Raw genomic sequence first — 27116 nt, forward strand, 5'->3', positions numbered from 1 at the left:
CTCTACTAAAAATACAAAAATTAGTTGGGTGTGGTGGCGCATGCCTGTAATCCCAGCTACTTGGGAGGCTGAGGCAGGAGAATCGCTTGAACTCGGGAGGCCGAGGTTGCACTGAGCCAAGATCGCACCACTGCACTCCAGCCTGACAGAGCGAGACACTGCGTCAAAAAAACAGACAACAACAACAGAAAAAGTTTTAAAATTACCAGCCGGATGCGATGGCGCACACCTGTAGTCCCAGATACTTGGAGGCTGAGGTGGGAAGATCTCTTGAGTCCAGCACTTTGGGAGGCCAAGGTGGGCGGATCACCTGAGGTTGGGGGTTTGAGACCAGCCTGACCAACATGGAGAAACCCCATCTCTACTAAAAATACAAAATTAGCTGGGTGTGGCGGCGCATGCCTGTAATCCCAGCTACGCGGGAGGCTGAGGTAGGAGAATTGCTTGAACCTGGGAGGAAGAGGTTGCGGTGAGCCGAGATTGCACCATTGCACTCCAGCCTGGGAAACTCTGTCTCAAAAAAACAAAACAAAACACAACAAAAACCCAAAAAGAGCAGACTGACCAGGCCGTCTGGGTTCATAACCTGGCTCTGCCACTGACTCGCTGGGTGACAGGCACCTCAGAGCCTCAGTTTCCCCACCTGACAATGGAGACAAAGCTAATCTCCCCCTCCCCAGGGGCTCTGGAAGTGGGGCAGGATGGGGCTGCGCAGGCGCTCGGAGACAAAGGCAGGGCCTGTCATCTTTCCTGCGTCCACGGGGTGGCACTTCCTTCCTGCCTTCCGCCTTTTGTTTTGGGACGCTTCCAAAACGCCCCTGGGAGGGAAAACTGAGCAGCCCACACAGGAAGCGTCCTGGAGCCTGCACACAGGCGCTCGATAATTGCTCGATTGACGAAATTGGTGCTCAACCAAGTGGCAAACAGGATAAGCGGGCTCAGATGGCCAGGAAAACGGGAGGGCCTGGGAGGTGGCGGCTCGAGGGTGCTGAGACTGAGACGGGAGGGTGGGCAGGACCGGGGTGCATCCCCAGGCAGGGGTGGGGACTGGGAGCACAGCATGGGTGGGGCATGGCCCAGAGGAGAGGCCAGAGGTGATGGAAGGTTCTGGTATTCGGCCTTGGCTGCTGCATTGGGAGCTTGTATCAGAGCTTTGAGGGTGACACAGACATGCAGACATTCAGTTTCCTGACAATCCATCGTTCTGCCCCGATGGTCGCCAAAGGGAGGGAGGGTTGACAGCCACCCATTTTACAGAGAGAAATAGGAGGCTCGGGTCACTGTGGCTGGATTCTGATCCTCGCCGGTTCCAGTTCTCTGGCTCAGAACGGGGCCCTGGTAAAATGCGCTGCTGGCTCCCTGGTCTATAGGCTCAGCACCCACCCACCCACCCACTTGTCCTGCAGGGCTGGGGGCAGCCTGCAGCTTGGGGAACGCCACCCCTGCAGGCTGGTGGTCCTGTCCTGTCTCCGCAGGCTCAACAGCTCTGGCCAGGACAGGGTGGAAGGTGGGAGGAATTTGTCCCACTCCCAGCAAGTCTGACACCCACAACTAGTGTCCCCTGCTGTCCCTCCCCTTCTCCTGTCCCCAGGCCGTTCCCCTTCCAGCAGCCCGAGGCATCCCAGACCACAGCTGTCTGCAGTGAGTCAGCCTGGAGCCTCTGGGCTGAGCCGCGGCTGCCAGAGGGAGGTGGGGAGAGGGGTGCAGGCTGCCCTGCCCTGCAGCTGGCCCTGGCCTAATCCCCTCCCCGCTCCCCAGTCTGGGGTCAGCACCCTCCTCCCTTGCAGGCAGTGATTTTCCGTGATGATGAAGGAATAAAAAAGCCACGGAGGGTTCTGAGTGGGAGTCCCTGGTCCCCATCACCCCACTGAGCATGGCCGCTGGGGTTTCCTGGCAACTTTCTGCTCCATCCGGAGCCGTCCCTCCCCTGGGCTGGGCTGCTCTGGGGCTGTTCCTGGGATGGGGAGCGGGGAGCTTGGGAGTAAATAGTGACATCAGCCACCTAGACAGGCGGGGCCACTGTGTCAAGGGGCCATGTCAGGTTCCCTTCTCCCAGAGCTGGGGCTTGTCTTGGAATTGGAAAATCCTCCCCACATTGCCCTGTGGACTGCAGGCCTGGCGTGATCAAGGACCCCTGCCCTCCTGCCATCCCCCTTGGTCTCCTCCATGCCAGCCTTGCTGTTTCCCCTGCCTGGCTCACAGTCTCCACACCTTTATCCCCTGGGGGCTCAAGTCTGGGACAAATGACACCTCCTCCCTGGGCCTCCCACAGAGCCACAGAGCGTCACCCCCCACCACCCCACAGCGTTCATTTGTGGGTCAGGATTAAGAGCACAAGCTCTGAACACACTCAGCTCAGATTAAAGCCCTGGCTCTGCCACCCGTCTACAGAAAAACTGACACAGTGGCCTCCACTGGGGTGTGGCTCCATGAAGGAGGGTCTGGCGGGCCACAGGCTTACAGTACTCATTTCTCTTTTCTTTTCTTTCTTCCTTCATTTCCTTTCTCTCTCTCCTTCCTTCCTCCCTCCCTCCCTTCCTTCCTTCTTTCTTCCTTTGTTTCTCTCTCTTTTTTTTTTGAGACGGAGTCTCGCTCTGTCGCCCAGGCTGGAGTGTAGTGGTGCGATCTCAGCTCAAGGCAACCACCACCTCCTGGGTTCAAACGATTCTCTTAGCCTCCTGAGTAGCTGGGATTACAAGCACGCACCACCACGCCTGGCTAGTTTTTGTGTGTTTAGTAAAGATAGGGTTTCACCATGTTGGCTGAGCTGGTCTTGAACTCCTGACCTCAAGCAATCTGCCCCACCTCGGCCTCCAGAAGCGTTGGGATTACAGGCGTGAGCCACCACACCGGCTTCTCCTCTCCCTCTCCTCTTTCTCCTTTTCCTTCCTTTCTTCCTTCCTTCCCTTCCCCTTCCTTCCTTCCTTCCTTCATTCTTTCTTCCCCCCGCTCCCCCCTCTTTTTTTTTGAGACAGGGTCTTGCTTTGTCACCCAGGCTGGAGCGCAGTGGTGCAATCCTAGCTCACTGCAGCCTTGACCTCCCAGGGTTGAGGCAATCCTCCCACCTCAGCCTCCCAAGTAGCCAGGACTACGAGTGCACGCCACCATGCCTGGCTAATTTTTTAGTTTTTTTTTGTAGAGACAGGAGTCTCACTGTGTTGTCCAGGCTGGTCTTGAACTCCTCGGTTCAAGCAATCTTCCTGCCTTGGCCTCCTAAAGTGCTGGGATTACAGGCGTGAGCCACAGCACCTGGCCCAGTCCACATTTCTAAGTAAATATGGGAGGCCAGCCAGGTGCAGTGGCTGTAATCCCAGCACTTTGGGAGGCCGAGGTGGGTGGATCACCTGAGGTCAGGAGTTCCAGACCAGTCTGGCCAACATGGTGAAATCCCGTCTTTACTAAAAATACAAAAATTAGCCGGGCGTGGTGGCTCATGCCTGTAATCCCAGCACTTTGGGAGGCTGAGGCGGCAGATCACAAGGTCAGGAGATCGAGACCATCCTGGCTAATACGGTGAAACCCGTCTCTATTAAAAATACAAAAAATTAGCCGGGCATGGTGGCAGGAGCCTGTAGTCCCAGCTACTCAGGAGGCTGAGGCAGGAGAATGGTGTAAACCCGGGAGGCAGAGCTTGCAGTGAGCCGAGATGGTGCCACTGCACTCCAGCCCAGGTGAGAGTGTGAGACTCCGTCTCAAAAAAACAAAATAAAACAAAAAATACAAAAATTAGCGGGGCGTGATGGCAGGTGCCTGTAGTCCCAGCTACTTAGGAGGCTGAGGGAAGAGAATCACTTGAACCCGGGAAGCAGAAGTTGCAGTGAGCCGCGATCGCATCACTGCACTGCAGCCCGGGTGACAGAGCAAGACTCCATCTCAAAAAAAAAAAAAAAAAAAAGGGAGGCCACTGGAGGTTGTGGGGCCACCATGAGAGTCGACAAGGGTGGCCCACATTCCTAGATGAGTTGCCTGGAGGCTGTAGTCCCAGACCTCAGGGGGGTCCCCTCCGGAACCCAAACACTGTCATGCCAATGACACAAAACTGGTCTTCCTGGCCTCTCCCATCCTGTCCAGCCTAGAAGGGAGACTGAGACTTCAGATCCGACAACCATGGGTTCAAATCCAGCCTTGAAAACTTCCCATGCACAGGCAAGCCCCATTGCGATCTGTTTCTTTTCTTTTCCTTTCTTTCTTTTTTTTTTTTTTTTTTTTTTTGAGACAGTCTTGCTCTGTCACCCAGGCTAGAGTGCAGTGGCGTGATCTCGGCTCACTGCAACCTCCGCCTCACAGGTTCAAGCGATTCTCCTGCCTCAGCCTCCCAAGTAGCTGGGATTACAGGTGCCCATCACCGTGCCCAGCTAATTTTTGTATTTTTAGTAGAGACGGGAGTTTCACCATCTTGGCCAGGCTGGTCTCGAACTCCTGACCTCGTGATCTGCTTGCCTCAGCCTGCCAAAGTGCTGGGATTACAGGGGTGAGCCACTGTGCCCGGCTGCGATCTGTTTCTTTTAACCGTAAACTGGGAAGAACTTTGACCACCTCTTAGTCCAGAACTATCAGGGAAGGGGCACTGAATGCCAGGCTGGAGGAGGGTTGCATGAAAGGCTTGACCCCAGCTACTCAGGAGGCTGAGGCAGAAGGACTGTTTGACCTGATGAATTCGAGGCTGCAGTGAGGCTGTGATCGCGCCACTGCACTCCAGCCTAGGCAATAGAGTGAGACCCTGTCTCTAAAAAAAAAAAAAAAAAAATGGCTCAGCCATCCCAAGCTGCTCCCAGCTGCCTGCCCCTCTAGGTGGCCCCCACTACTGGCCTGAGGATGCACTTTATCCCCGCCAGGGCCTGAGGAGTCCTGGGGAAAGGTACCCAAGTCTAGTCCTCAGGAGAAGCCGCCCAGGGAGCACTAGGGCCCGAGGAAGGGTTCAACCTCGAGACTCCATAGCCCCTGGGCTCCCGTCCCCAGAAACACCAGTTACGAGCAGGGGGCTGGCCATGGTGTGAATTCATGACCTGCACACCTCTTGCCGTAATGACTAAGTGGCTAGAGCTTCAGGCTGCCCCACTGCTGCCCTCTGGAGCTCGAGCAGGTGCAGGTGTGGGTGCCCACCCTGGCTTGGCCTCTTCTCACCTGGGTGGCTTCGGACACAGGGTGGACTCCTCAAAGGGGCTGCTTCCCATCTGAGAAGCCAGCATAATCCTCCAGGGGCTACTGATATACACACGCTGCCCCTGGTCCTGAGTTAGATCACCCTGCCCCTAGGGAGGGCTTGGGGGCTTCACTGCTGAAGTTCAGACTCCAGGGTGGTCCTTGTCCTGTGTGCCTCAGTTTCCCCATCTGTAAAATGGATGGTCCTGGGGCTGAGCCTCAGTGCTGCAGGGACTAGTGTGGAACCCTGTGTCCTGGTGCCTGAAACCTTACTCCCACCTCAGCAGGGCTGGGCTGAGCCATCAGCAAGCCTCTGGCCGGCCTCCATCATTCAGGAAAGAGCCGGTGGCTGAAGGCACAGCTCTCAGAGGGAGAACAAACGGGGGCGGGGGTGGGATGGGGGCGGGGCCGGAGGCCACCGGCCTCAGGCTGTCCTGGGCATCCAGCCAGTGCTGGGCAGTGAGTCAGGGGCCAGGCATGTGGAGTGGGGCCTCTCCCAGCCCCGGAGATCAGGCACCTCCCGGAACCCGCCTGCTGGGCCCCCACCAGGCCGCGTTCCTCTCCCACTCGCTCTCCCCATAGAGGGGACCCTGGACCTGCCTGGGGGGGACGAGGATGGGGATGTGGCTGGTGGGCACAGGGCCTCTCTGAGCCCCGGCACAGGCCGCCTGATGGGACCGTCTCTTCCTTGGGGAAACTGAGGCCCAGGTTGCTGGGGTGGAGGGGATGTGGAGTGACAGGGCAGGGCAATGGCTCCTCGGCCCCCTCCGGGAACAAAGCCAGGTCATTCCTGTGGGGAGGGAGCGCCAACCCCAGGGTTGGGGGGGGCACGGGCCCTGGGTCAGGGGTACAGATAAGCCTGGGCTCCCAGAACCCTTGTCACAGCGGCACCCCTGCCCCATGCCTGCTTTCTCTCCAGGGCACTCAGAGCTGCAGTTTGCAGGACGAGAGGGAGACGTGCCCAATCCCCCCATCCCAGGACGCTCAGCCGTGCGTGGGCTGGGCCCACTCCACTCCCGGCGCCCACAGTTGCCCCAGTGAACCGGCCAGTGGAGGCATCCTGTCCCGTGTGCGGGAAAGGAATGACCGCCAAGGTGACAGCAGCGCTTAGCCAACCCTGGCGCTGACACCTGACTTGCAAACTGCTCCCTGCCTGAGGCTTCAAGGCAGGCGAGAGGCTTTGTGTGTGTGACTTCCTCCCCGAAGGGACACTGGCAACAGCTGGAGACATTTCCTGTTGTTAAGGCTGAGGGGGAGCTGCTGGCATTTGGTGGGTGGAGGCCAGGGATGACGTTAACTGTTCTACTACGCCCAGGACAGCCCCCAACACACACAACAGCCTGGCCCAATGTCACGAGAGCTGAGGTGGAACAGCCCTGTTCTGCTTCAGGTCTTCAGGTCTTTGGGGGTCAAGGATGCAAATAGAGGACTCTGCTCCCAATTCAGCTCACATAAAAGAACCGGCCGGGCGCTGTCGCTCATGCCTATAATCCCAGCGCTTTGGGAGGCCGAAGTGGGAGGATCGCTTGAGCCCAGGAGTTTGAGACCAGCCTGGGTAACATAGCAAGATCCCATTTCTACGAAAGTACAAAAATTACCTGGGCACGGTGGCATGCACCTGTAGTCCCAGCGGCTTGGGAGGCTGAGGTGGGAAGTTTGCTTGAGCCCAGGAGGTTGAGGCTGCAGTGAGCCGAGATCATGCCAGTGCACTCCAGCCTCGGCGACAGAGTTAGACTCTATCTCAAAAAAGAAAAAAGAGAGAAAACCCACCAACTTGGAAAATTAAAACAGCCCCAAGGGCATCTAGGAACAGTTAACTGCACATCTAAACCCAGGCCCGCCGTTCTTAGAAGCTCTGCAAGCTGCATGGACTGACTCCTGACATTTCAGGGCTAGACTCAAAAATCCCTTTAAAAAAATTTTGTTTCTGAGACGGAGTTTCACTCTTGTCCAAGCTGGAGTGGAATGGCACGATCTCGGCTCACTGCAACCTCCACCTCCTGGGTTCAAGTAAGTCTCCTGCCACAGCCTCCAGAGTAGCTGGGATTACAGGTGCCCGCCACCATGCCTGGCTAACTTGTATTTTTAGTAGAGATGGGGTTTCACCATGTTGGCCAGACTGGTCTTGAACTCCTGATGTCAGGTGACCCACCTGCCTTGGCCTCCCAATGTTGCTGGTACTACAGACATGAGCCACCATGCCTGGTCTCTTCTTTTTTTTTTTTTTTTTTTTTTTTGAGACAGTCTCGCTCTGTCGCCCAGGCTGGAGTGCAGTGGCTCGATCTCGGCTCACTGCGAACTCTGCCGCCTGCGTTCACGCCATTCTCCTGCCTCACTCAGCCTCCTGAGTAGCTGGGACTACAGGTGCCCACCATCATGCCCGGCTAACTTTTTGTATTTTTAGTAGAGATGGGGTTTCACCGTGTTAGCCTGGTCTCGATCTCCAGACCTTGTGATCCGCCCACCTCGGCCTCCCTAAGTGTTGGGATTACAGGCATGAGCCACCGCGCCCGGCCCCCTTTTTTTTTGTTGTTGACACAGGGTCTCACTTCGTCCCCTAGGCTGGAGTGATGTGGCGCAGTCGTAGCTCACCACGGCAACTTCCTGGGCTCAAGCGATCCTCCCACTTCAGGCCCCGAAGTAGCGGGGGATACAGGCAGGCACCACCATGCCCGGCTAATTTATTTTTTTCTTAGTAGAGGTGGGGTTTCGCAATGTTGCCCAGGCTGGTCTCAAATTCCTAGACTCAAGTGATTTGCCCGCCTAGGCCTCCCAAAGTGCTGGGATTACAGGCATGAGCCACAACAGCTGGCCCCTTTCTAAGACAGGGTCTCATTCTGTCACCCAGGCTGGAGTGCAGTGACACTACCATGGCTCACTGTAGCCTCAACCTCCCAGGCTCAAGTGATCCTCCTGCCTCAGCCGCCCGAGTAGCTGGGACTACAGGCAAGCACCACCAGACGCTGTTAAAGCTTACTGTTCCCTCTGCCTAAAAACGCCCCTCTCTGATTAAGAACTGCACTTAAGTTCAGTCGTGGAAAGGGACATGATGAAACCCAAGCCCAAGTTCACGGAACTAACACATTCAAGGGCAAAGCTGTATCTGGGGACAACTGTCAGTGGGACCCAACCTCCCTCTCTCCTCCCTCAGGCAGGCAGGTGGTGTGCACGCCTCCTTTCCTTAGCGGTACCCAAAACACCGAGGATGGGAGAGTGATGAACACATTGATTGGCCGGCCCTGGACTGGAGTACATGTTCAGTTAGGGTTTATTTTGGTATCTGTCATAGAAAACCCCCAAAACCAGCAGCTTACACAAGGTAGAAGTTGAGATTGGTTCTCCCCTTCTCTCTCCCATTTAAATAAGTTTGTGCTGATATCTGGCTCTGCCATCATCAGGGAACCAGGCTCCTGTCATCCCTAAAGGACGGCACTCGTCTGTACACGTGGCAGTATGGCTGCCAGGGCTCCAGCCATCACACCCACATTCCAGGAAATAGGAAGGGGGAAGAAAGGGTGTATTTGTCTTTTAAGAATCCTTCTAGAAGTGTCATGTAACATTTCCACATACATTTCACTGGCCAGACCTTAACTATAAGGGCAGCTGGGAAGTGTTGTATTTTAACTCCCAAAGTGCTAGGATCACAGGCATGAGCCACCACACCAGGCCAAATTTTTTAATTTTTTTGTAGAGATGGGGTCTTGCCATGTTCCCCAGTCTGGTCTCCAACTCCTGGGCTCAAGTGATCTGCCGGCCTCTGCCTTCTACAGTGCTGGGATTGCAGGCATGAGCCACCACACCTGGCCTCCTTATCTTTTTAAGTCCCGGCACAAAAGTCGCTTCTGTCCTCCATGAAGCCTGCACACTCTGGTGTGGCTCCTGTCGCAATCTGGACCTCTCTCCAGTTCTAGAGTGTTGTCTGCTTTTGTGTTAATTCCTCCGTCAGCAGTGGGAGGAGAACCATGTCACTCGTATCTTGTCTCTCTGGTGCCTAGCAGAGTCTGGGCACACCGTGGCACTCAAACATACCCCCTGAATGAGTAAGGGCCAACCTTGAAGTACCTGGGAGCTGTCATCGAATACCACGGTGTCATTTGTCCCATCCCGTCACAGATGTGAAACTGCAGGCCTGGCATAGATAAGTCGACTCCCGTTGGTTACCTAGCTGAGGCCACTCTAGGAGCTGAGGCCGAAAATCAGGAGAAAAAGAAATCCAGTAAAAAAAAAAAAAAAAAAGGCCAGGCGCGGTGACTCACACCTGTAATCCCAGCACTTTGGGAGGCCAAGGCGGGCAGATCACAAACTCAGGAGATGGAGACCATCCTGTCTAACATGGTGAAACCCCGTCTCTACTAAAAATACAAAAAATTAGCTGCGCATGGTGGCAGGTGCCTGTAGTCCCAGCTACTCAGGAGGCTGAGGCAGGAGAATGGCGTGAACCCGGGAGGAGGCGGAGCTTGCAGTGAGCTGAGATCGCACCACTGCACTCCAGCCTGGGCGACAGAGTGAGACTCCGTCTCAAAAAAAAAAAAAAAAGGAAGACGTCTAGCTGGGCACGATGGCTCACGCCTGGAATCCTAGCACTTTGGGAGGCCAAGGCGGGCGGGTGGATCACCTGAGGTCAGGAGTTCAAGACCAGCCTGACCACCATGGTGAAACTCCATCTCTACCAAATACAAAAAATTAGCTGGGTGTGGTGGCGCATGCCTGTAATCCCAGCTACTTTGGAGGCTGAGGCAGGAGAATCGCTTGAACCCAGGAGGCAGAGGTTGCTGTGAGCTGAGATTGTGCCATTGCACTCCAGACTGGACAACAAGAGTGAAACTCTGTCTCAAAAAAAAAAAAAAAAAGATCTATGTCCCCACATTTCATTTGAAATGGATCTGACCACGGCAGATGCCCGCTGGGTGCAAGACGCAGCCACGAGGCTCCTGGCTACCACTCGGTGTCCACCAGACTCCAGAGGTAGTCGCTGATGAATTTCCTGGAGAGCTGGGTGCTGTCCAGGTGGATGGGCTGGGCCACACTGGGGCCATGATGGACTGAGGCACAGATGTAAGGAAAGCCCGGGACACACAGCCCCTCACACAACCCCACGGGGAAAAGGATACTGCCTTTACTTTTTTTTTTTGAGACAAAGTTTCATTCTGTAGGCCAGGCTGGAGTACAGTGGTGCGATCTCGGCTCATTGCAACCTCCACCTCCAGTGGTTAAGTGATTCTCATGCCTCAGCCTCCTGAGTAGCTGGGACTACAGGCATATGCCACCACGCCTGGCCTCAGGTCTTCTGCCCACCTCGGCCTCCCAAAGTGCTGGGATTACAGGCGTGAGGTACCACACTTGGCCTGCTATACTTTACTATATTTATTATAGACGTGGGGTCTCACTGATACCCAGGCTGGTCTCAAACTCCTGGCCTCAAGTGATCCTCCCACCTCAGCCTCCCAGGTAGCTGGGACAACAGATGCACGCCACCACACCCGGCTAATTTTTACAGGGTCCTGCTATGCACCATTTTATGTCCCTACCTACAGTGCACAAGGGTTAAAATGGCTCCCCAAAAAGGATACTGCCTTTGACCATCCCTGGCTCACACTCATAATCCCACTCAATTTTACTAACTTGGTGGTAAAGTTGAGCCACGTACCTGTACAGGAAGACAAAAAAAAAAAAAAAAAAAAAAGAAAGTTACCCAGCACCAACTTCAACCAAGAGCCGGACTGCACAAGGAGGCACAGGCAGGCACACGTTTTGGCAGAACCTACACGGCCGAGGGGATTGTGACTGTCGTGTCCTCGTCGACCTCCTTCTCCTGTCGCTCCAGATCCGCCTCAATCTCCTTGAGCTCTTCCAGCTCTCTGGTGAGCTGAGTAGGGCAGGTCGTTAAGGACCCCGGCTTTCGAGAGAGGGCTGCCCCTGCGCTAACTGCAGCTGGGAGGCCCAGGGTCTTGGCTCTATTTACGCACACTCTCTTCTTTGAGTCAGAGTTTTGCTTTGTCACCCAGGCTGGAGTGCAGTGGCACGACCTCAGCTCACTGCAACCTCTGCCTCCCAGGCTGAAGTGATTCTGGAGCCCCTGCCTACCGAGTAGCTGGGATTACAAGCACACACCACCATGCCCTGCTAATTTTTGTATTTTTAGTAGAGACAGGGTTTCACCATATTGGCCAGGCTGGTCTCAAACTCCTGACCTCAACTGATCTGTCTGCTTCGGCCTCCCAAAGTGCTGGGATTACAGGTGTGAGCCACCGCGCCTGGTCTTTTCTTTTTTTTTTGAGACAGGGTCTTGCTCTTTCACCTATTCTGGAGTGTAGCCTCAATCTCCCAGGACCAAGTAATCCTCCCACCTCGGCCTCCCAAGTAGCTGAGACTACAGGTGTGTACCACCATGCCCAGCTTATTGATTGATTGATTGATTGAGACAGAGTCTTGTTCTGTTGCCCAGGCTGGAGTGCAGTGGCATGATCTCAGCTCACTGCAAGCTCCGCCTCCTGGGCTCACGCCATTCTCCTGCTGGGACCACGCCCGGCTAATTTTTTTTTGTATTTTTAGTAGAGACGGGGTTTCACTGTGTTAGCCAGGATGGTCTCGATCTCCTGACCTCGTGATCCACCTGCCTCGGCCTCCCAAAGTGCTAGGATTACAGGCGTGAGCCACTGCACCTGACCTAATTTTTTTATTTTTGTAGAGACGGGGTCTCTGTTGTCCAGGCTGGTCTCCAACTCCTGGGCTCAAGTGATCCTCCCACCTGGGCTTCCCAAAGTGCTGGGATTACAGGCTTGAGCCACTGCGCCTGGCCCTATGCGTGTTTTCTAGCAAGGCTGATCCCCTAGCAGAAAAGGATATAGGAGGCTGGCCTTCAGACGGGTGTCCTCCTCCCCAGCCTCCTGAAGCCCAGCTTCCAGCTGCTGCAGCTCCACGCCTCCCTGGTGCACCTGCTCCTTCGCATTGAGAAGGCTCTGGGCCACTTCCTTCTCCATGGTGAGGATCTCTGCAGGGTGGAGAGAAGCAGGCTCCCTAGGGTCTGTCCTTCCCCAAGGAGAGCAGAGAGAAGGTGGTTCCACTTGCCTCCACTGGCAAGAAACATGCCCCTTGTCTGCAGCCCTGTGTCCAGAGAGTTCTACTGGCAACTTGTACAACTACTGTTTCACCAAAACACATTTAAATACACTAAAAATAAAGCCTCGTCCTTCACACACCTAAAATATAACAAAATAGTTGGCCAGGCATGGTGGCTCATGCCTGTAATCCCAGCACTTTGGGAGCCTGAGGCGGGAGGATCGCTTGAGGCCAAGAGTTCAAGCCTGGGCAACATAGGGAGATCCCATCTCTACAAAACTAAAAAAAATTAGGCTGGGCATGGTGGTTCACACCTGTAATCCCAGAACTTTCGGAGGCCGAAGTGGGCAGATCACCTAAGGTCAGGAGTTTGAGACCAGCCTGGTCAACATGGTAAAACCCTGTCTTTTTTTTTTTTTTTGAGACGGAGTTTTGCTCTTATTGCCCAGGCTAGAGTGCAGTGGCGCAGTCTTGGCTCACTGCAACCTCCGCCTTCCAGTTTCAAGTGATTCTCCTGCCTCAGCCTCCCAAGTCACTGGGATTACATGCGCCTGCCACGACACCCAGCTAATTTTTTGTATTTTTAGTAGGGACGGGGTTTCACCATGTTGGTCAGGCTGGTCTCAAACTGCTGACCTCGTGATCCACCCGCCTCAGCTTCCCAAAGTGCTGGGATTACAGGCGTGAGCCACTGCGCACGGCAACCCTGTCAATATTAAAAACACAAAAAATTAGCCAGGTGTGGTGGCAGGCGCCTGTAATCCTAGCTACTTGGGAGGCTGAGACAGGAGAATCACTTGAACCCAGGAGGTGGAGGCTGCAGTGAGCCGAGATCGTGCCACTGCACTCCAGCCTAGGGGGCTGAGGAAACTCCATCTCAAAAAAAAAAAAAAAAAAAAAAAGGCTAGGTGTGGTGGCTCATACCTGTAATCCCAGCGCTTTGGGAGGCCCAGGCAGATCACCTGAGGTCAGGAGTTCGAGACCAGCCTGACCAACATGGAGAAACCCCATCTCTACTAAAAATACAAAATTAGCTGGGCGTGGTGGTGCATGCCTGTAATCCCAGCTACTTGGGAGGCCAAGGCGGGACAATCACTTGAACCTGGGAGGCGGAGGTTGCGGTGAGCCGACATCGCGCCATTGCACTCCAGTCTGGGCGATAGAGCAAGACTCCATCTTAAAAAAAAAAAAGAAAAAAGGCTACTGGTGGCTGGGCACAGTGGCTCATGCCTGGAATCCCAGCACTTTGAGAGGCCAAGGCAGAAGGATCACTTGGACAGGAGTTTGAGACCACCCTGGGCTATGTGGCAAAACCCCATCTCTACTAAAAACACAAAAAATTAGCTGGGCATTGTGGTGTGCACCTGTAGTCCCACCTACTTGGGAGGATCACCTGAACCAGGGAGGTTGAGGCTGCAGTGAGCCATAATCGCTGTCACTGTGCCACTGCACTCCAGCCTGGGTGACAGAGAGAGACCCTTTCTCAAAAACCCAAAGCAAACCAAAATAAAACAAAGATGGCTACTGTTCCTTCCTAGAAACCTGCCAACTCAGAGAATGCAGATTAAATGCCCAGGCCAGGCGCGGTGGCTCATGCCTGTAATCCCAGCACTTTGGGAGGCCGAGGCAGGTGGATCACGAGGTCAGTAGATCGAGACCATCCTGGCTAACATGGTGAAACCCCGTCTCTACTAAAGATACAAAAAATTAGCTGGGCGTGGCGGAGGGCGCCTGTAGTCCCAGCTACTTGGGAGGCTGAAGCAGGAGAATGGTGTGAACCTGGGAGGCGGAGCTTGCAGTGAGCCAAGATCACGCCACTGCACTCCAGCCTGGGCGACAGAGCCAGACTCCGTCTCAAAAAAAAAAAAAAAAAAAAAATGCTTCCCAAAGGGCCCATGTTTAAGTTTTAGAAACTTACATTATTTTTAATCAGAGTATGACATGTATATGGTTCTGCAAACATGAACACACACGCACACACCCTTCTCCAAGCCTCTCCGTCCCTCTGAAGCAGCCACTTTCAAGTTTTAGCTGTTTTCTCTGGCACTGGCCTCCACATTTCTAAGTTAACTTGCTTATGCTGCTATTTCTTGATCGGTCTGGTTCGGATGGGGCCTGCTGATTTCCTGTTAGGACAGCTGAGGCTCTGGCTGGCTCACACAGCCTTCCCACCCGCTGTCTGTCCGCCCTCCCGAAGGACAACCAAGTCTTCTTGAATTCTTCCCTGAGTAGTAATCTCTACCCCATGGCTGTTCATTATAAGGTGCTCCTACCTGACATATTCTCACACAGCTGAGGGGATACTTTTTTTTTGGGGGGGGGGGATGGAGTCTTGCCCTGTCATCCAGGCTGGAGTGCAATGGCACGGTCTCAGCTCACTGCAACCTCCGCCTCCCAGGTTCAAGTGATTCTCCTGCCTCAGCCTCCTGAGTAGCTGGGATTACAGGCACCCACCACCACGCCTGGCTAATTTTTATATTTTTACCGGAGACGGTGTTTCACCATGTTGGCCAGGCTGGTCTAGAATTCCTGACCTTGTGATCCGCCCACCTTGGCCTCCCACAGTGCTGGGATTACAGGTGTGAGCCACCGCACCAGGCCTTTTTTTTTTTTTAAACTTTTATTATTATTTTTGAGACAGTCTTGCTCTGTTGCCCAGGCTGGAGTGCAGTGGCATGATCTCAGCTCACTGCAACCTCTGCTTCCCAGGTTCAAGCTATTCTCCTGCCTCAGACTCCCGAGTAGCTGGGATTACAGGCATGCACCACCATGCCTGGCTAATTTTCTTATTTTTAGTAGAGATGGGGTTTCACCATGTTGGCCAGGCTGGTCTTGAACTCCTGACCTCAGGTGATCTGCTTGCCTCAGCCTCCCAAAGTGTTGGGATTACAGGCATGAGCCACTGTGCTTGGCCTATTTTTTTGAGACAGTCTTGCTTTGTCATCCAGGCTGGAATACAGTGGTGTGACCTCAGCTCACTGCAGCCGCCACCTCCCAGGTTCAAGCAATTCTCCTGTCTCAGCCTCCCGAGTAGCTGGGATTACAGGCATGCGCCACAACGGCCAGCTAATTTTTGTAATTTTAGTAGAGACCAGGTTTCACCATGTTGACCAGGCTGGTCTTTAACTCCTGTCCTCAAGTGATTCACCCACCTCGGCCTCCCAAAATGTTGAGATGAGAGGCGTGAGCCACCACACCCAGCCTGAGGGTGTACTTTAACTCCTCTGCCCCACATCTGTGACATGAAAAACAGGTCCAGAGACAGAAGTTCAGTGACTCGCCCACAGGTACATAGCTCCAAACCTAGGATGTGAACTGGATCTGTTTGACCCAAAGCCTAGGATCCCTGGATCCTGATTCTCAGTTTTCTTGGCCCCAGATTCATCCATTCTGCTAACAGCCAGGCTGGCCGAGTCACATCTTTCTCCTCAAGCCATCAAAGGAGGGGGAGTTAATGGAGGGGTGGAAGAAGGAGGAGGGAAGGAGGGAAGAGCCTGCTTGGGACATCACATTCAGGATAATATTCAGACTCCTCCTGGGCACTCTCCAGGCCTGGCAGTCAGGCGGCTGCTGAGCTCATCTTCTGCTTGCCAAGTTCATTCTCACCTCCTGACCTTTGCATTTGCAATCCACGCTGCCAGGAACACCGTTCCTGAGCCACCCCGTGGACTGGCTCCATAGGCCAATCAAGGCTCAGCCCAGGCCTCCTCATAAAATGTGACTGTATAAGGCACCTGAAACCCCTGGCACTGCAGCTGTCAGGGAGAACCGTATGGCGGTTCCTCAGAAATCAAACTTTGAATTACCATTTGATCTGCTTCTGGCTGAATACAAAAAAGAACTGAAAATAGAGTCTTGGCTGGGCGTGGTGGCTCACGCCTGTAATCCCAGCACTTTGGGAGGTCGGGGCAGGTGGATCACGAGGTCAGGAGATCGAGACCATCCTGGCTAACACGGTGAAACTCTGTCTCTACCAAAAAAAATACAAAAAAAAAATTAGCCGGGCGTGGTGGCGGGTGCCTGTAGTCCCAGCTACTCGGGAGGCTGAGGCAGAATGGTGTGAACCCGGGAGACGGAGCTCGCAGTGAGCCAAGATCACGCCACTGCACTCCAGCCTGGGTGACAGAGCGAGACTCCATATCAAAAAAATAAAAAAAAGAAAATAGAGTCTTGGGCTGGGCGCAGTGGCTCATGCCTATATTCCCAGCACTTTGGGAGACCGAGGCGGGCGGATCACGAGGTCAAGAGTTTGAGACCAGCCTGGCCAACATGGTGAAACCCCATCTTTACTAAGAATACAAAAATTAGCTGGGCATGTTGGCACGTGCCTGTAATCCCAGCTACTTGGCAGGCTGAGGCAGGAGAATTGCTTGAACCCAGGAGGCATAGGTCGCAGTGAGCAGAGATCACGCTGCTGTACTCCAGCCTGAGCAGCGGAGTAAGACTGTCCTGGGAAAAAAAAAAAAAAGAAGAAAATATGGCTGGGCACGGTGGCTCATGCCTGTAATCCCAGCACTTTGGGAGTCCGAGACGTGTGGATCATGAGGTCAGGAGATCGAGACCATCCTGGCTAACACGGTGAAACCCCGTCTCTACTAAAAAAATATATATAAAAATATTAGCCGGGCGTGGTGGCGGGCACCTGTAGTCCCAGCTACTCGGGAGGCTGAGGCAGGAGAATGGCGTGAACCCAGGAGACGCAGCTTGCAGTGAGCCAAGATTGCGCCACTGCACTCCAGCCTGGGTGACAGAGCAAGACTCCGTCTCAAGGAAAAAAAAAATACAGTCTTGAAGAGATATTTGGGCACCCGTGTTCATAGCAGCGTTATTCAACACAGCCAAAAGGTGGATACAACCCAAGTGCCCATGGATGGATGAATGAATAAACACAATGCGGTCCATCCTTCTATATCATGAAATATGACTCAGCTTTAAAATGGACGGAAATTCTGGCCAGGCGTAGTGGCTCACCCCTGTCATCCCAGCACTTTGGGAGGCCGAGGTGGGCGATCACTTGAGGCTGGGAGTTTAAGACCAGCCTAGCCAACATGGTGAAACCCCATCTCTACTAAAAATACAAACATTAGCTGGGCATGGTGGCGCATAAGTGTGTTCTCAGCTACTTGGGAGGCTGAGGTGGGAGGATCACTTAAGTCTGGGAGGCAGAGGTTGCAGTGAGCCAAGATCACACCACTGCATTCAAGCCAGGGTAATGGAGCGAGGCTCTGTCTCACAGTAAGTACACAAAATGAAAGGAAATTCTGATACAGGCTATGACATGGATGAACCTGGAGGACATTATGCTCCATGAAATAAGCCAGACACAAAAGGGTAGATATTGTATGATTCCACTAGGAAGGGTAGATATTGTACAATTCCTCGTAAGGTTCCTAGAGGAGTCAAATTTGAGACAGAAAGTAGAACCCTGGTGGGTGCCAGGGTCTGAGAAGGGGATGGGGAGTGAGTGTTTCATGGGGACAGAGCTTCAGTTTGGAAAGATGAGAAAGTTCTGGAGATGGATGATGGTGCTGATGGTTGCACAGCAGTGTGAATGTGCTTAAGGCCACTGAACTGTGCAGTTACAGATAGTGAAGATGGGCCGGACACAGTGGCTCACGTCTGCAGTCCCAGTACTTTGGGAGGCTGAGGCAGGCAGATTACCTGAGGTCAGGAGTTTGAGACCAGCCTGGCCAACGTGGTGACCCCCCGTCTCTACCAAAAATACAAAAATTAGCCGAGTGCGGTGGCAAGCGCCTGTAATCCCAGCTACTCAGGAGGCTGAGGCAGGAGAATAGCTTGAACCCGGGAGGTGGAGGTTGCGGTGAGCCCAGGGCCTGGCAGCAGCAGATGCTCCATAAAACATCTGAATGCCTTCAGGAAGAAGGGATGGGCTATTGTCACAACCATTTGACAAGGAAGGAAGCTGAGGCACAGAGAATTTAAGAAACTCACCTCAAGTCTCACAGCGGACATGGGGATGGGTGCTAGGATTCAAACCCGGAGCTTTGACTCCTGAGCCCCAGTTCAAACCCTGAGACCCCCAGCTCCTGCTCACGGAGAGCTCAGAAGGGGCCAACCCCTCCAGACTCCTATATTTACCACTAAACCCCTGGGGGGTGGGGGATGGTTGCTGTCATAAAGCCGATTTCTCAGATGGTGAAACTAAGGCTCAGAGGGGGCCGTCCCAGGGGGCATAGGGCAGGAGATGGGAGAGTCCAGGAGAGAAGGGGTTTTGAGGTGGGCCTGGTCGCCCCCTCCCAGCACCCGGGCCCCTTCCCCCGTGGGCCCGCGACCACGCTCCGACCCTCACCTCGCAGCTGCTTCTCGGCACCGTCTTGCGTTTCCAGCAGCCGCTCCACCACCTGCTCGTGGCGCCCCAGCAGCCGTCGCTGCTGCGCCTCCGCGCGGTTGGCGCCCAGCAGGCTGAGCAGCCCCTGGCTCACCTCCTCTATGTCGCGGAAGGCGGCCATGACTACGCCAGGCTCCAACCCGCGCAAATTTGACTGTCCGCGGGGCCCGCCCTCTTCCAGAAGAGGTTGCTTTCCATTGGATTTTTTGATACGTCAGTCATAAGCAATGGCCAATAGGCATGGGGAACAGGATCTTAGACTGGGCTAAGCCGCCTTTGGTCTGGCCTGGTGCGCCTGCGACCACTCCTCCGTCAGTCATCGGTGATGACCAATCGGCGCAGGAAGGGGGAGGCTCCGTTATCCTTCCCGATGCGCCTGCGCGGGAGAGAAAGCGGCTGTTTATTTCTCCATAGGTCGAGCGCTTGCTCTGTGCAGGGTGGGGTTCTAACGGCAAAGCAGCGAGCAGCTTCTCCTGGAACTTACATCCTACAGTGTGTGCGTGGGATACACAATAAGCATAGAGAATAAGTAGATTCTATGAGAGGCTGCATAGCAAAATGGCGTCTGCAGCCAGATTTACTGGGTTCGAATCCCAGCGTTGCCACTTACTAGCTGTGTTACCCTGGACAGACTTCACCTCTCTGTGCGGTACTTTCCTCCTTAGTAAAATGAGGGTCATACTAGTGCCTGTGTCAGCGTTGGCGTGAGAATTCTTCTTATTACTTTTTTTTTAGAGACAAGGTATTGCTCTGTCACCCAGGCTGAAGTGCAGTGCCACAATCATAGCTCATTGCAACTTCGACCTCCTGGCCTCCAGCAATCCTCCTGCCTCCGCCTCCCAAAGTGCTGGGATTACAGGCGTGAGCCACCGAGCCCAGCCTGGCGTGATAGTGTCTCCTATTCAGTAGGTGCTATATAGTTGTTTAATGAAACATACATAGAATCCTAGCATGTAGCTGGGTGCAGTGGCTCACGCCTGTAAGTCTGAGCTCTTTGGAAGGCTAAGACAGGAGGATCGCTTGAGCCCTGGAGTTTGAGACTAGCCTGTCTCAAAACAAAACAAAACAAAGAAAAGATCAGTGCTGACTCTAAGGTGCTGGTTCCATGCTAGACACTGGTATTTCTGCAAGAAACAAGATGTTAAGATGGCATCTTTTTTTCTTTCTCTCTCTTTTTTTTTAAGACAGAGTCTCACTCTGTTGCCCAGGCTGGAGTGCAAGGCATTCCAGCCTGCTTCCTGGGTTCAAGGCATTCTCCTGCATCAGCCTCCCGAGTAGCTGGGATTACAGGTGCCCGCCACCGCACCCAGCTGATTTTTTGTATTTTTAGTAGAAACGGGGTTTCATTATGTTGGCCAGGTTGGTCTTGAACTCCTGACCTCGTGATCTGCCTGCCTCAGGCTCCCAAAGTGCTGGGATTATAGGCGTGAGCCACCGCGCCTGGCGTGGCAACATTTTTATGTGTGCTACCACCTAAAGAACATCTCATTGCTTTCCTATGATTTTTTTTTCTTTTCTTTTCTTTTCTTTTTTTTTTTTCTTGAGACAGAGTTTCGCTGTTGTTGCCCAGGCTGGAGTGCAATGGCGCGATCTCAGCTCACTGCAACCACCACCTCCCAGGTTCAAGTGATTCTCCTGCCTCAGCCTCCCGAGTAGCTGGGATTACAGGCATGCGTCACCATGCCCAGCTAATTTTGTATTTTTAGTAGAGACGGGGTTTCTCCATGTTGGTCAGGCTGGTCTTGAACTCCCGACCTCAGGTGATCCACCTGCCTCGGCCTCCCAAAGTGCTGGGATTACAGGCGTAAGCCACTGTGCCCGGCCTTCTTTTCTTCCTTCTTTTTTTTTTTTTTTTTTGAGATGGGGTCTTGTTCTGTCCCCCAGGCTGAAGTGCAGTGGCTCAGGTGATCCTTTCATTTCAACCTTCCAAGTAGCCGGGACTACAGGTGTGTGTCACCCTTTGGTGCCTGAGAGCATGGCTTCTTGAACCAGCTGTGTAATGTTGGCATAGACCTCACTTCTTTGTGCCTAAAGGCAGTGAATAACAATTAGGCAGAGTGAAATCAAGAGGGGAAAAGACTTCAGGTTCACTTTCTGATGCTGCAGCTTACCTGTGACCTTGGCAGGTTCCTAACCTTTCTAAGCCATAGTGGCTAAAGATAGCCCTTTCTTATTAGCTGCCAGGAGGTGTCCCAGAGATAAGCCAGGCAAGATTGTGCAACTCGAGCCTGATAGATCTAAAGGCTCCTGTGGAAAAATGCCACCCGCCCACCTCCCTTCCAAAAAAGCAAAGCGAGAACCGCTTCCCAGCCATTAGGATGGCTACTGTCCAAAACCAACCAACCAGCCAAGCAACCTGGAAAATAACAAGTGTTGACCAAGATGTAGAGAAATTGGAATGCTGTGTACCCTTGCTGAGAATGTAAAATGGTGCAGCTGCTGCGGGAAACAGTATGGCAGTTCCTCAAAAAATTAAAAATAGTATTACCATATCAGCAATTCCACTTCTGGGTATAGCCCCAAAAGAATTGAAAGCAGGTTGTTGGGCCGGGCGCAGTGGCTCATGCCTGTAATCCCAGCACTTTGGGAGGCCGGGGCGGGCGGATCACCTGAGGTCGGGAGTTCGAGACCAGCCTGACCAACATGGACAAACCCCGTCTCTACTAAAAATACAAAATTAGCCAGGCGTGGTGGCGCATGCCTGTAATCCCAGCTACTAGGGAGGCTGAGGCAGGAGAATCGCTTGAACATGGGAGGCGGAGGTTGCGGTGAGCTGAGATCACGCCATTGCACTCCAGCCTGGGCAACAAAAGGGAAACTCCGTCTCAAAAAAAAAAAAGAAAAAAAAAAGAAAGAAAGAAAGAGAAAGAAAGCAAGTCATAGAGCAGATATTTGCAAGTCTATGTTCATAGCACCCATTATAGCGAAAGGGTGGAAACAGCACAAGTGTCCTTAGATAGAAGAATTAATAAAACGTGGTTCATCTCTACAACACAATTGTTTTTTTTTGGTTCATCTGTACAACGCAATTTTTTTTTTTTTGAGCCACCATGCCCGGACACAATTTTTTTTTCTTTTTCCTTTTTTTTTTTATGAGACAGGATCTCTCTGCCAGGCTGGAGTGCAGAGACGCAATCATGGCTCACTCAACCTCCTGGGCTCAAGCAATCCTCCAACTTTAGCCTCCCAAGTAGCTGGGACTACAGGCACATGCCACTACACCCAGCTAATTATTTTTTTTTTCCTAGAGACAGGGGTCTCATTGTATTGCCTAGGCTGGTCTCCAACTCCTGGGCTCAAATGATCCTCTTGCCTCAGCCTCCCAAAATGCTGGCATTACAGGTATGAGTCACCGTGTCTACCATGTCTGGCCCATAGGACAGAAGATTATTCAGCCTTAAAAAGGAAGGAGGCCAGGTGCGGTGGCTCACGCCTGTAATCCTGGCACTTTGGGAGGCCAAGGCGGGCGGATCACGAGGTCAAGAGATTGAGACCATCCCGGCCAACATGGTGAAACCCCGTCTCTACTAAAAATACAAAAATTAGCTGGGCCTGGTGGCACGTGCCTGTAGTCCCAGCTACTTGGGAGGCTGAGGCAGGAGAATCGCTTGAACCTGGGAGGTGGAAGGTGCAATGAGTCGAGATCGCACCGCTGCACTCCAGCCTGGTGACAGAGTGATACTCTGTCTCAAAAAAAAAAAAGGAAGGAAATGCTGACCAGGTCCAGTGGCTCACGCCTGTAATCCCAGCACTCTGGTAGGCTGAGGCAGGCAGATCGCCTGAGGTCAGGAGTTCAAGAACAGCCTGGCCAACATGGCAAAACCCCGTCTCTACTAAAAATACAAAAATTAGCCAGGCATGATGGTGCACACCTGTAATCCCTGCTACATGGGAGGCTGAGGCAGGAGAATCACTTGAACCCGGGAGGCGGAGGTTGCAGTGAGATGAGATGGCGCCACTGCACTCCAGCCTGGGCGACAAGGAGCAAAACTCCATCCCCACCCCGCAAAAAAAGAAAGGAAATTCTGACACATGCCACGAGGTGGATGAAGACATGTTCAGTGAAATAAGCCAGATACAAAAAGACAAACACTGCGTGATTCCACTTAGAGGAGGTCCCTAGAGTCGTCAGATTCATAAAAACAGAACGTAGAATGGTGGGTCCCGGGGGCTGGGGAGGGGTATGGGGAGTGAGTGTTTCATGGGGACAGAGTTTCAGTTTTGCAAACTGAGAATGTTCTGGAGATGGATGGTAGTGCTGGTTGCACAACAGTGGGAATGTGCTTAATGCCGTTGAACTCTGCACTTTAAAATGGTTAAAGTCGTACATTTTATGTCATGTATATTTTACCACAATTAAAATTAAAAATATACTAAAAAAAAAAAGCAAAGCAAGAAACTGTGTGATGGCGGGAATAGGTCTTAAAGGTGAGCTGAACAAGAGAAGTAAAGATAATGACAAATGGTCCTGGCAATGGCTTTGTGAGAAAGTTTATTTCCTAAGAACCCTTCTTGGCTCACAAAGCCAGAGGAAACTGACACGAGTAATGGACCTTCTGCCTAGAAATACACTCCTTAGCATAACATTTCTGGGTCTTCCAAAAACCTTCTGTTATCTCCTGACTGAACAGCCTAGTGGATAAACAGAGGAAATGAGAAGTCAGGAGATATGATTACCGCTGGGAGATCTGAGGGGAGGGGCCCGTGGGCTGCTAGGGCCAATGATATTCCTTTTCCAGTTCTGGTGCCGGCAACTTGGGGGTGCCGTTTGCAAAAAAGCCATGGAAGGAACTGTACACTTTTGTGCACCATTTGTGCACAGAATGTATTCATTTTATACCTGAAGAAAAAAGAACTGTAAAAAAAAATTAAGACCAAATATATTAGAAAAAGATTTGGTAGGAGATGCTCCAAACTGTTGACAATGGTATTCCTACCAAGTGGGATTATGGCATGCTGCAAGGACTAAACACTGCTGTATTGTTTGAATTTTTATTTTTATTTTTAGATGGAGTTTCTCTCTTGTTGCCTAGGCTGGAGTGCAATGGCGTGATCTCGGCTCACCACAACCTCCACCTTCCAGGTTCAAGCAATTCTCCTGCCTCAGCCTCCTGAGTAGCTGGGATTACAGGGGTGTGCCAGCACACCCGGCTAATTTTGTATTTTTAGTAAAGACAAGGTTTATTTTTTTCTTTTTGAGATGGAGTCTCACTCTGTCGCTCAGGCTGGAGTGCAGTGGTGCGATCTCGGCTCACCGCAAGCTCCGCCTCCCGGGTTCACGTCATTTTCCTGCCTCAGCCTCCCAGTAGCTGGGACTACAGGTGCCCACCACCACGCCTGGCTAATTTTTTGTATTTTTTTAAGTAGAGATGGGGTTTCACCGTGCTAGTCAGGATGATCTCGAGCTCCTGACCTCGTGATGTGCCCGCCTTGGCCTCCCAAAGCGCTAGGATTACAGGCGTGAGCCACCACTCCTGGCCTTTTTTTTGTTTTTTGAGACGGAGTCTCACTCTGTCACCCAGGCTGGAGTGCAGTGGTGCGATCTTGGCTCACTGCAAACTCTGCCTCCCGGGTTCACGCCATTCTTCTGCCTCAGCCTCCCGAGTAGCTGGGACTACAGACACACGCCACCACACCCAGCTAATTTTTTGTATTTATTAGTAGAGATGGGGTTTCACCATGTTGGCCAGGATGGTCTCGATCTCTTGACCTCGTGATCCACCCGCCTTGACCTCCCAAAGTGCTGGGATTACAGGCGTGAGCCACCACGCCCGGCCAGAGACAGGGTTTCGCCATGTTGGTCAGGCTAGTCTCGAACTCCCGACCTCAGGTGATCCACCCGCCTTGGCCTCCCAAAGTGCTGGGATTACAGGCGTGAACCACTGCACCCGGCTCGAATTTTAACTTTTTTTTTTGAGACGGAGTCTCCCTGTTGCCCAGGCTGGAGCACAGTGGCACAATCTCGGCTCACTGCAACCTGTGCCTCCCAGGTTCAAGCGATTCTCATGCCTCAGCCTCCTGAGTAGCTGGGATTACAGGCGTGTGCAAATGCACCTGGCTAATTTTTGTATTTTTAGTAGAGGCAGGGTTTCACCGTATTGATCAGGCTGGTCTCAAACTTCTGACCTCAGGTGATGCCCACCTTGACCTCCCAAAGTCCTGGGATTACAGGGGTTAGCCACTGTGCCCGGCTGAATTTTGACTTTTATAATAAATCGCTATAAATTATTTGGCATTAGAATACAAAAGTCACCGAAGAGCCAAGTTTTAGGCCAGGCATAGTAGTTCATGCCTACGATCCCAGCACATTGGGAGGCTGAGGTGGGGAGATCGCTTGAGCCCAGAAGTTTGAGGCCAGCCTGGGCAGCATAGAGAGACTCCGTCTATACAAAAAATAAAAAAAATTAGCCAGGCATGGTGGCACACACTTGTAGTCCCAGCCACTCTGGAGGCTGAAGTGGGAAGATTGCTTGAGCCCCGGAGGTTGAGGCTGCAGTGAGCTATGATCGCACCACTGCACTCTACCCTGGTGGGCAACAGAGTGAGACCCTGTCTCAAAAAAAAAAAAGAAAAGAAAAGAAAGAAAAAGATTGATTTTTTTTTCCTGAGGTGTTCACAGCAGGTGTTCAACAAAACTTTGTACGATGGCAATATTCAGTATCTCTGCAAGTCAATACAGTAGCCACCAACCACGTAAAGCTATCGAGAACTAATTATAATTCATTGACTTTATTTATTTACTTATTTTTGAGTTGGAGCCTCACTGTCGCCCAGGCTGGGGTACGGTGCTGCAATCTTAGCTCACCGCAACCTCCGTTTTCCATGTTCAAGTGATTCTCATGCCTCAGCCTCCCCAGTAGCTGGGATTACAGGCATGCACCACCATGCCCAGCTAATTTTTTTCTATTTTTAGTAGAGATGTGGTTTCACCATGTTGGCCAGGCTGGCCTCAAACATAAATGATCCACCTGCCTCAGCCTCTCAAAGTGTTGGGATTATAGGCGTGAGCCACCGCGCCAGGCATAATTCATTTACTTAAGATTTTTTTTTTTTTTTTTAGAAACAAGGTCTCACTCTGTCACCAAGGCTGGAGTGCAGTGGGACAATCATAGCTCACTGCAGCCTCGAACTCCTGGCCTCGAGTGATCCTCCCACCCGCCTCAGCCTCCTGAGTAGCTTGGGACTACAGGCACAAGCCACCAAGCCTGCTAATTATAATTAATTAATTCATTCATTCATTTATAGATGGAGTCTTGCTCTGTCACCCAGGCTGGAGTGCAGTGGGGCAATCTCAGCTCCCTGAAACCCCCGCCTCCTGGGTTCAAGTGATTCTCTGGCCTCAGCCTCCCGAGTAGCTGGGACTACAGATGCCCGCTACCATGCCCAGCTAATTTTTTGTATTTTTAGTAGAGACAGGGTTTCACGATGTTGCCCAGGCTGGTCTTGAATTCCTGACCTCAGGTGATCCACCTGCCTCAGCCTCCCAAAGTGCTGGGATTACGGGCGCGAGCCACCGCGCCCGGCCTCATGTACTTTTAAATGAAAATAGCCACATGTAGCTAGCGGCTACACTATTGTTGGGTGCTGGTCTAGGACAGAGCATGAAGGTGTTTACTGTGATATTCTTGCAACTGTTCTGTAGCTTTGAACACTCTCCAAAATAAGTCCATTTTGAAAAAGAGATTTGCAGCAGCTCACGTGTGTAATCCCAGCACTTTGGGAGGCCGAGGTGGGAGAGTGGCTTGGGCAACATAGCAAAACCCCGTTTCTACAAAAAATTTAAAAATTAGTCCAGGCGCAGTGGCTCACGCCTGTAATCCCAGCACTTTGGGAGGTCGAGGCGGGTGGATCACTTGATCAAGGTCGGGAGTTCAAGACTGGCCTGACCAACATAGTGAAAACCCATCTCTACTAAAAATACAAAAATTAGCTGGGTGTGGTGGTGGGTGCCTCTAATCCAAGCTATTTGGGAGGCCGAGGCAGGAGAATTGCCTAAGTCCAGGAGGCGGAGGTTTCGGTGAGCCTAAATCACACCACTGCACTCCAGCCTGGGAGACAGAGGGAGACTCCGTATCAACAACAACAACAACAACAAAAAGTCAGGGGTGGTGGCGCAGCCTGTGGTCCCAGCTAGTCGGGAGGTTGAGGTGGGAGGATCGCTTGAACCCTGGAGGTAGAGACTGCAGTGAGCTATGATTCGCACCACTGCACTCCAACCTGGGAGACAGAGTGAGACTCTCCAAAAACAAAAAGTGGTGGCTCACACCTGTAATCCCAGCACTTTGGGAGGCTGAGGCGCGTGGATCATCTGAGGTCAGGAGTTTGAGACCAGCCTGACCAACATAGCGAAACCCCCGTCTCTACCAAAAATACAAAATTAGCCGAGTGTGGTGGGCACCTGTAGTCCCAGCTACTTGGGAGAATCGAGGCAGTAGAATCACTTGAATCCAGGAGGCAGAGGTTGCACTGAGCCAAGATCGCGCCACTGCACTCCAGCCTGGGTGACGAGAAGCAAAACTCCGTCTCAAAAAAAGAAAAAAGAAAAAAAAAAGGAAAGATATCTATC

General features: G+C 52.5%; 1 protein-coding gene across 10 annotated transcripts, besides 4 other annotated features; it reads right to left on the reverse strand.

Annotated features, from left to right (window-relative positions):
* Window positions 4150-6922: an enhancer, noted in NCBI's record as "VISTA enhancer hs1754". NCBI's record gives its function as "enhancer in: heart[9/11]" and the evidence as "EXISTENCE:transgenic organism evidence [ECO:0001131][PMID:17130149]".
* Window positions 4447-5390: an enhancer, noted in NCBI's record as "H3K27ac-H3K4me1 hESC enhancer chr19:11252228-11253171 (GRCh37/hg19 assembly coordinates)". NCBI's record gives its function as "activates a minimal SCP1, AML or CMV promoter by ChIP-STARR-seq in naive and primed H9 embryonic stem cells {active_cell/tissue: H9 hESC(naive and primed)}" and the evidence as "EXISTENCE:reporter gene assay evidence [ECO:0000049][PMID:30033119]".
* Window positions 5391-6333: an enhancer, noted in NCBI's record as "NANOG-H3K27ac-H3K4me1 hESC enhancer chr19:11253172-11254114 (GRCh37/hg19 assembly coordinates)". NCBI's record gives its function as "activates a minimal SCP1, AML or CMV promoter by ChIP-STARR-seq in naive H9 embryonic stem cells {active_cell/tissue: H9 hESC(naive)}" and the evidence as "EXISTENCE:reporter gene assay evidence [ECO:0000049][PMID:30033119]".
* SPC24 (SPC24 component of NDC80 kinetochore complex) lies at window positions 8388-18677 on the reverse strand. 10 transcript variants are annotated; one of them, NR_172094.1, is made up of 5 exons: window positions 18512-18677; window positions 11989-12246; window positions 10908-11012; window positions 10713-10789; window positions 8388-10184 (listed from the first exon to the last, which is right to left on the reverse strand). NR_172094.1 is itself a non-coding variant. In XM_005259753.4 (5 exons), exons 1-5 carry the CDS (start codon window positions 18669-18671, stop codon window positions 10078-10080), a joined length of 456 nt encoding a protein of 151 aa, XP_005259810.1. In that variant the 5' UTR covers window positions 18672-18677; the 3' UTR covers window positions 8388-10077. The 10 variants fall into 10 exon arrangements, 9 of the variants coding, with proteins under 9 accessions (XP_005259810.1, NP_001381244.1, NP_001303960.1 ...); XM_005259753.4 differs by having other exon boundaries at window positions 10908-10966; window positions 12081-12133; NM_001394315.1 differs by having other exon boundaries at window positions 8388-9174; window positions 10765-10789; window positions 11989-12133.
* Window positions 18634-18793: a silencer, noted in NCBI's record as "silent region_10101". NCBI's record gives its function as "represses an Ori minimal core promoter by ATAC-STARR-seq in GM12878 lymphoblastoid cells {active_cell/tissue: GM12878}" and the evidence as "EXISTENCE:reporter gene assay evidence [ECO:0000049][PMID:35858748]".

Source organism: Homo sapiens, chromosome 19 (assembly GCF_000001405.40).
Source record: "Homo sapiens chromosome 19, GRCh38.p14 Primary Assembly".
NCBI classification, from domain to species: Eukaryota; Metazoa; Chordata; class Mammalia; order Primates; family Hominidae; genus Homo; species Homo sapiens.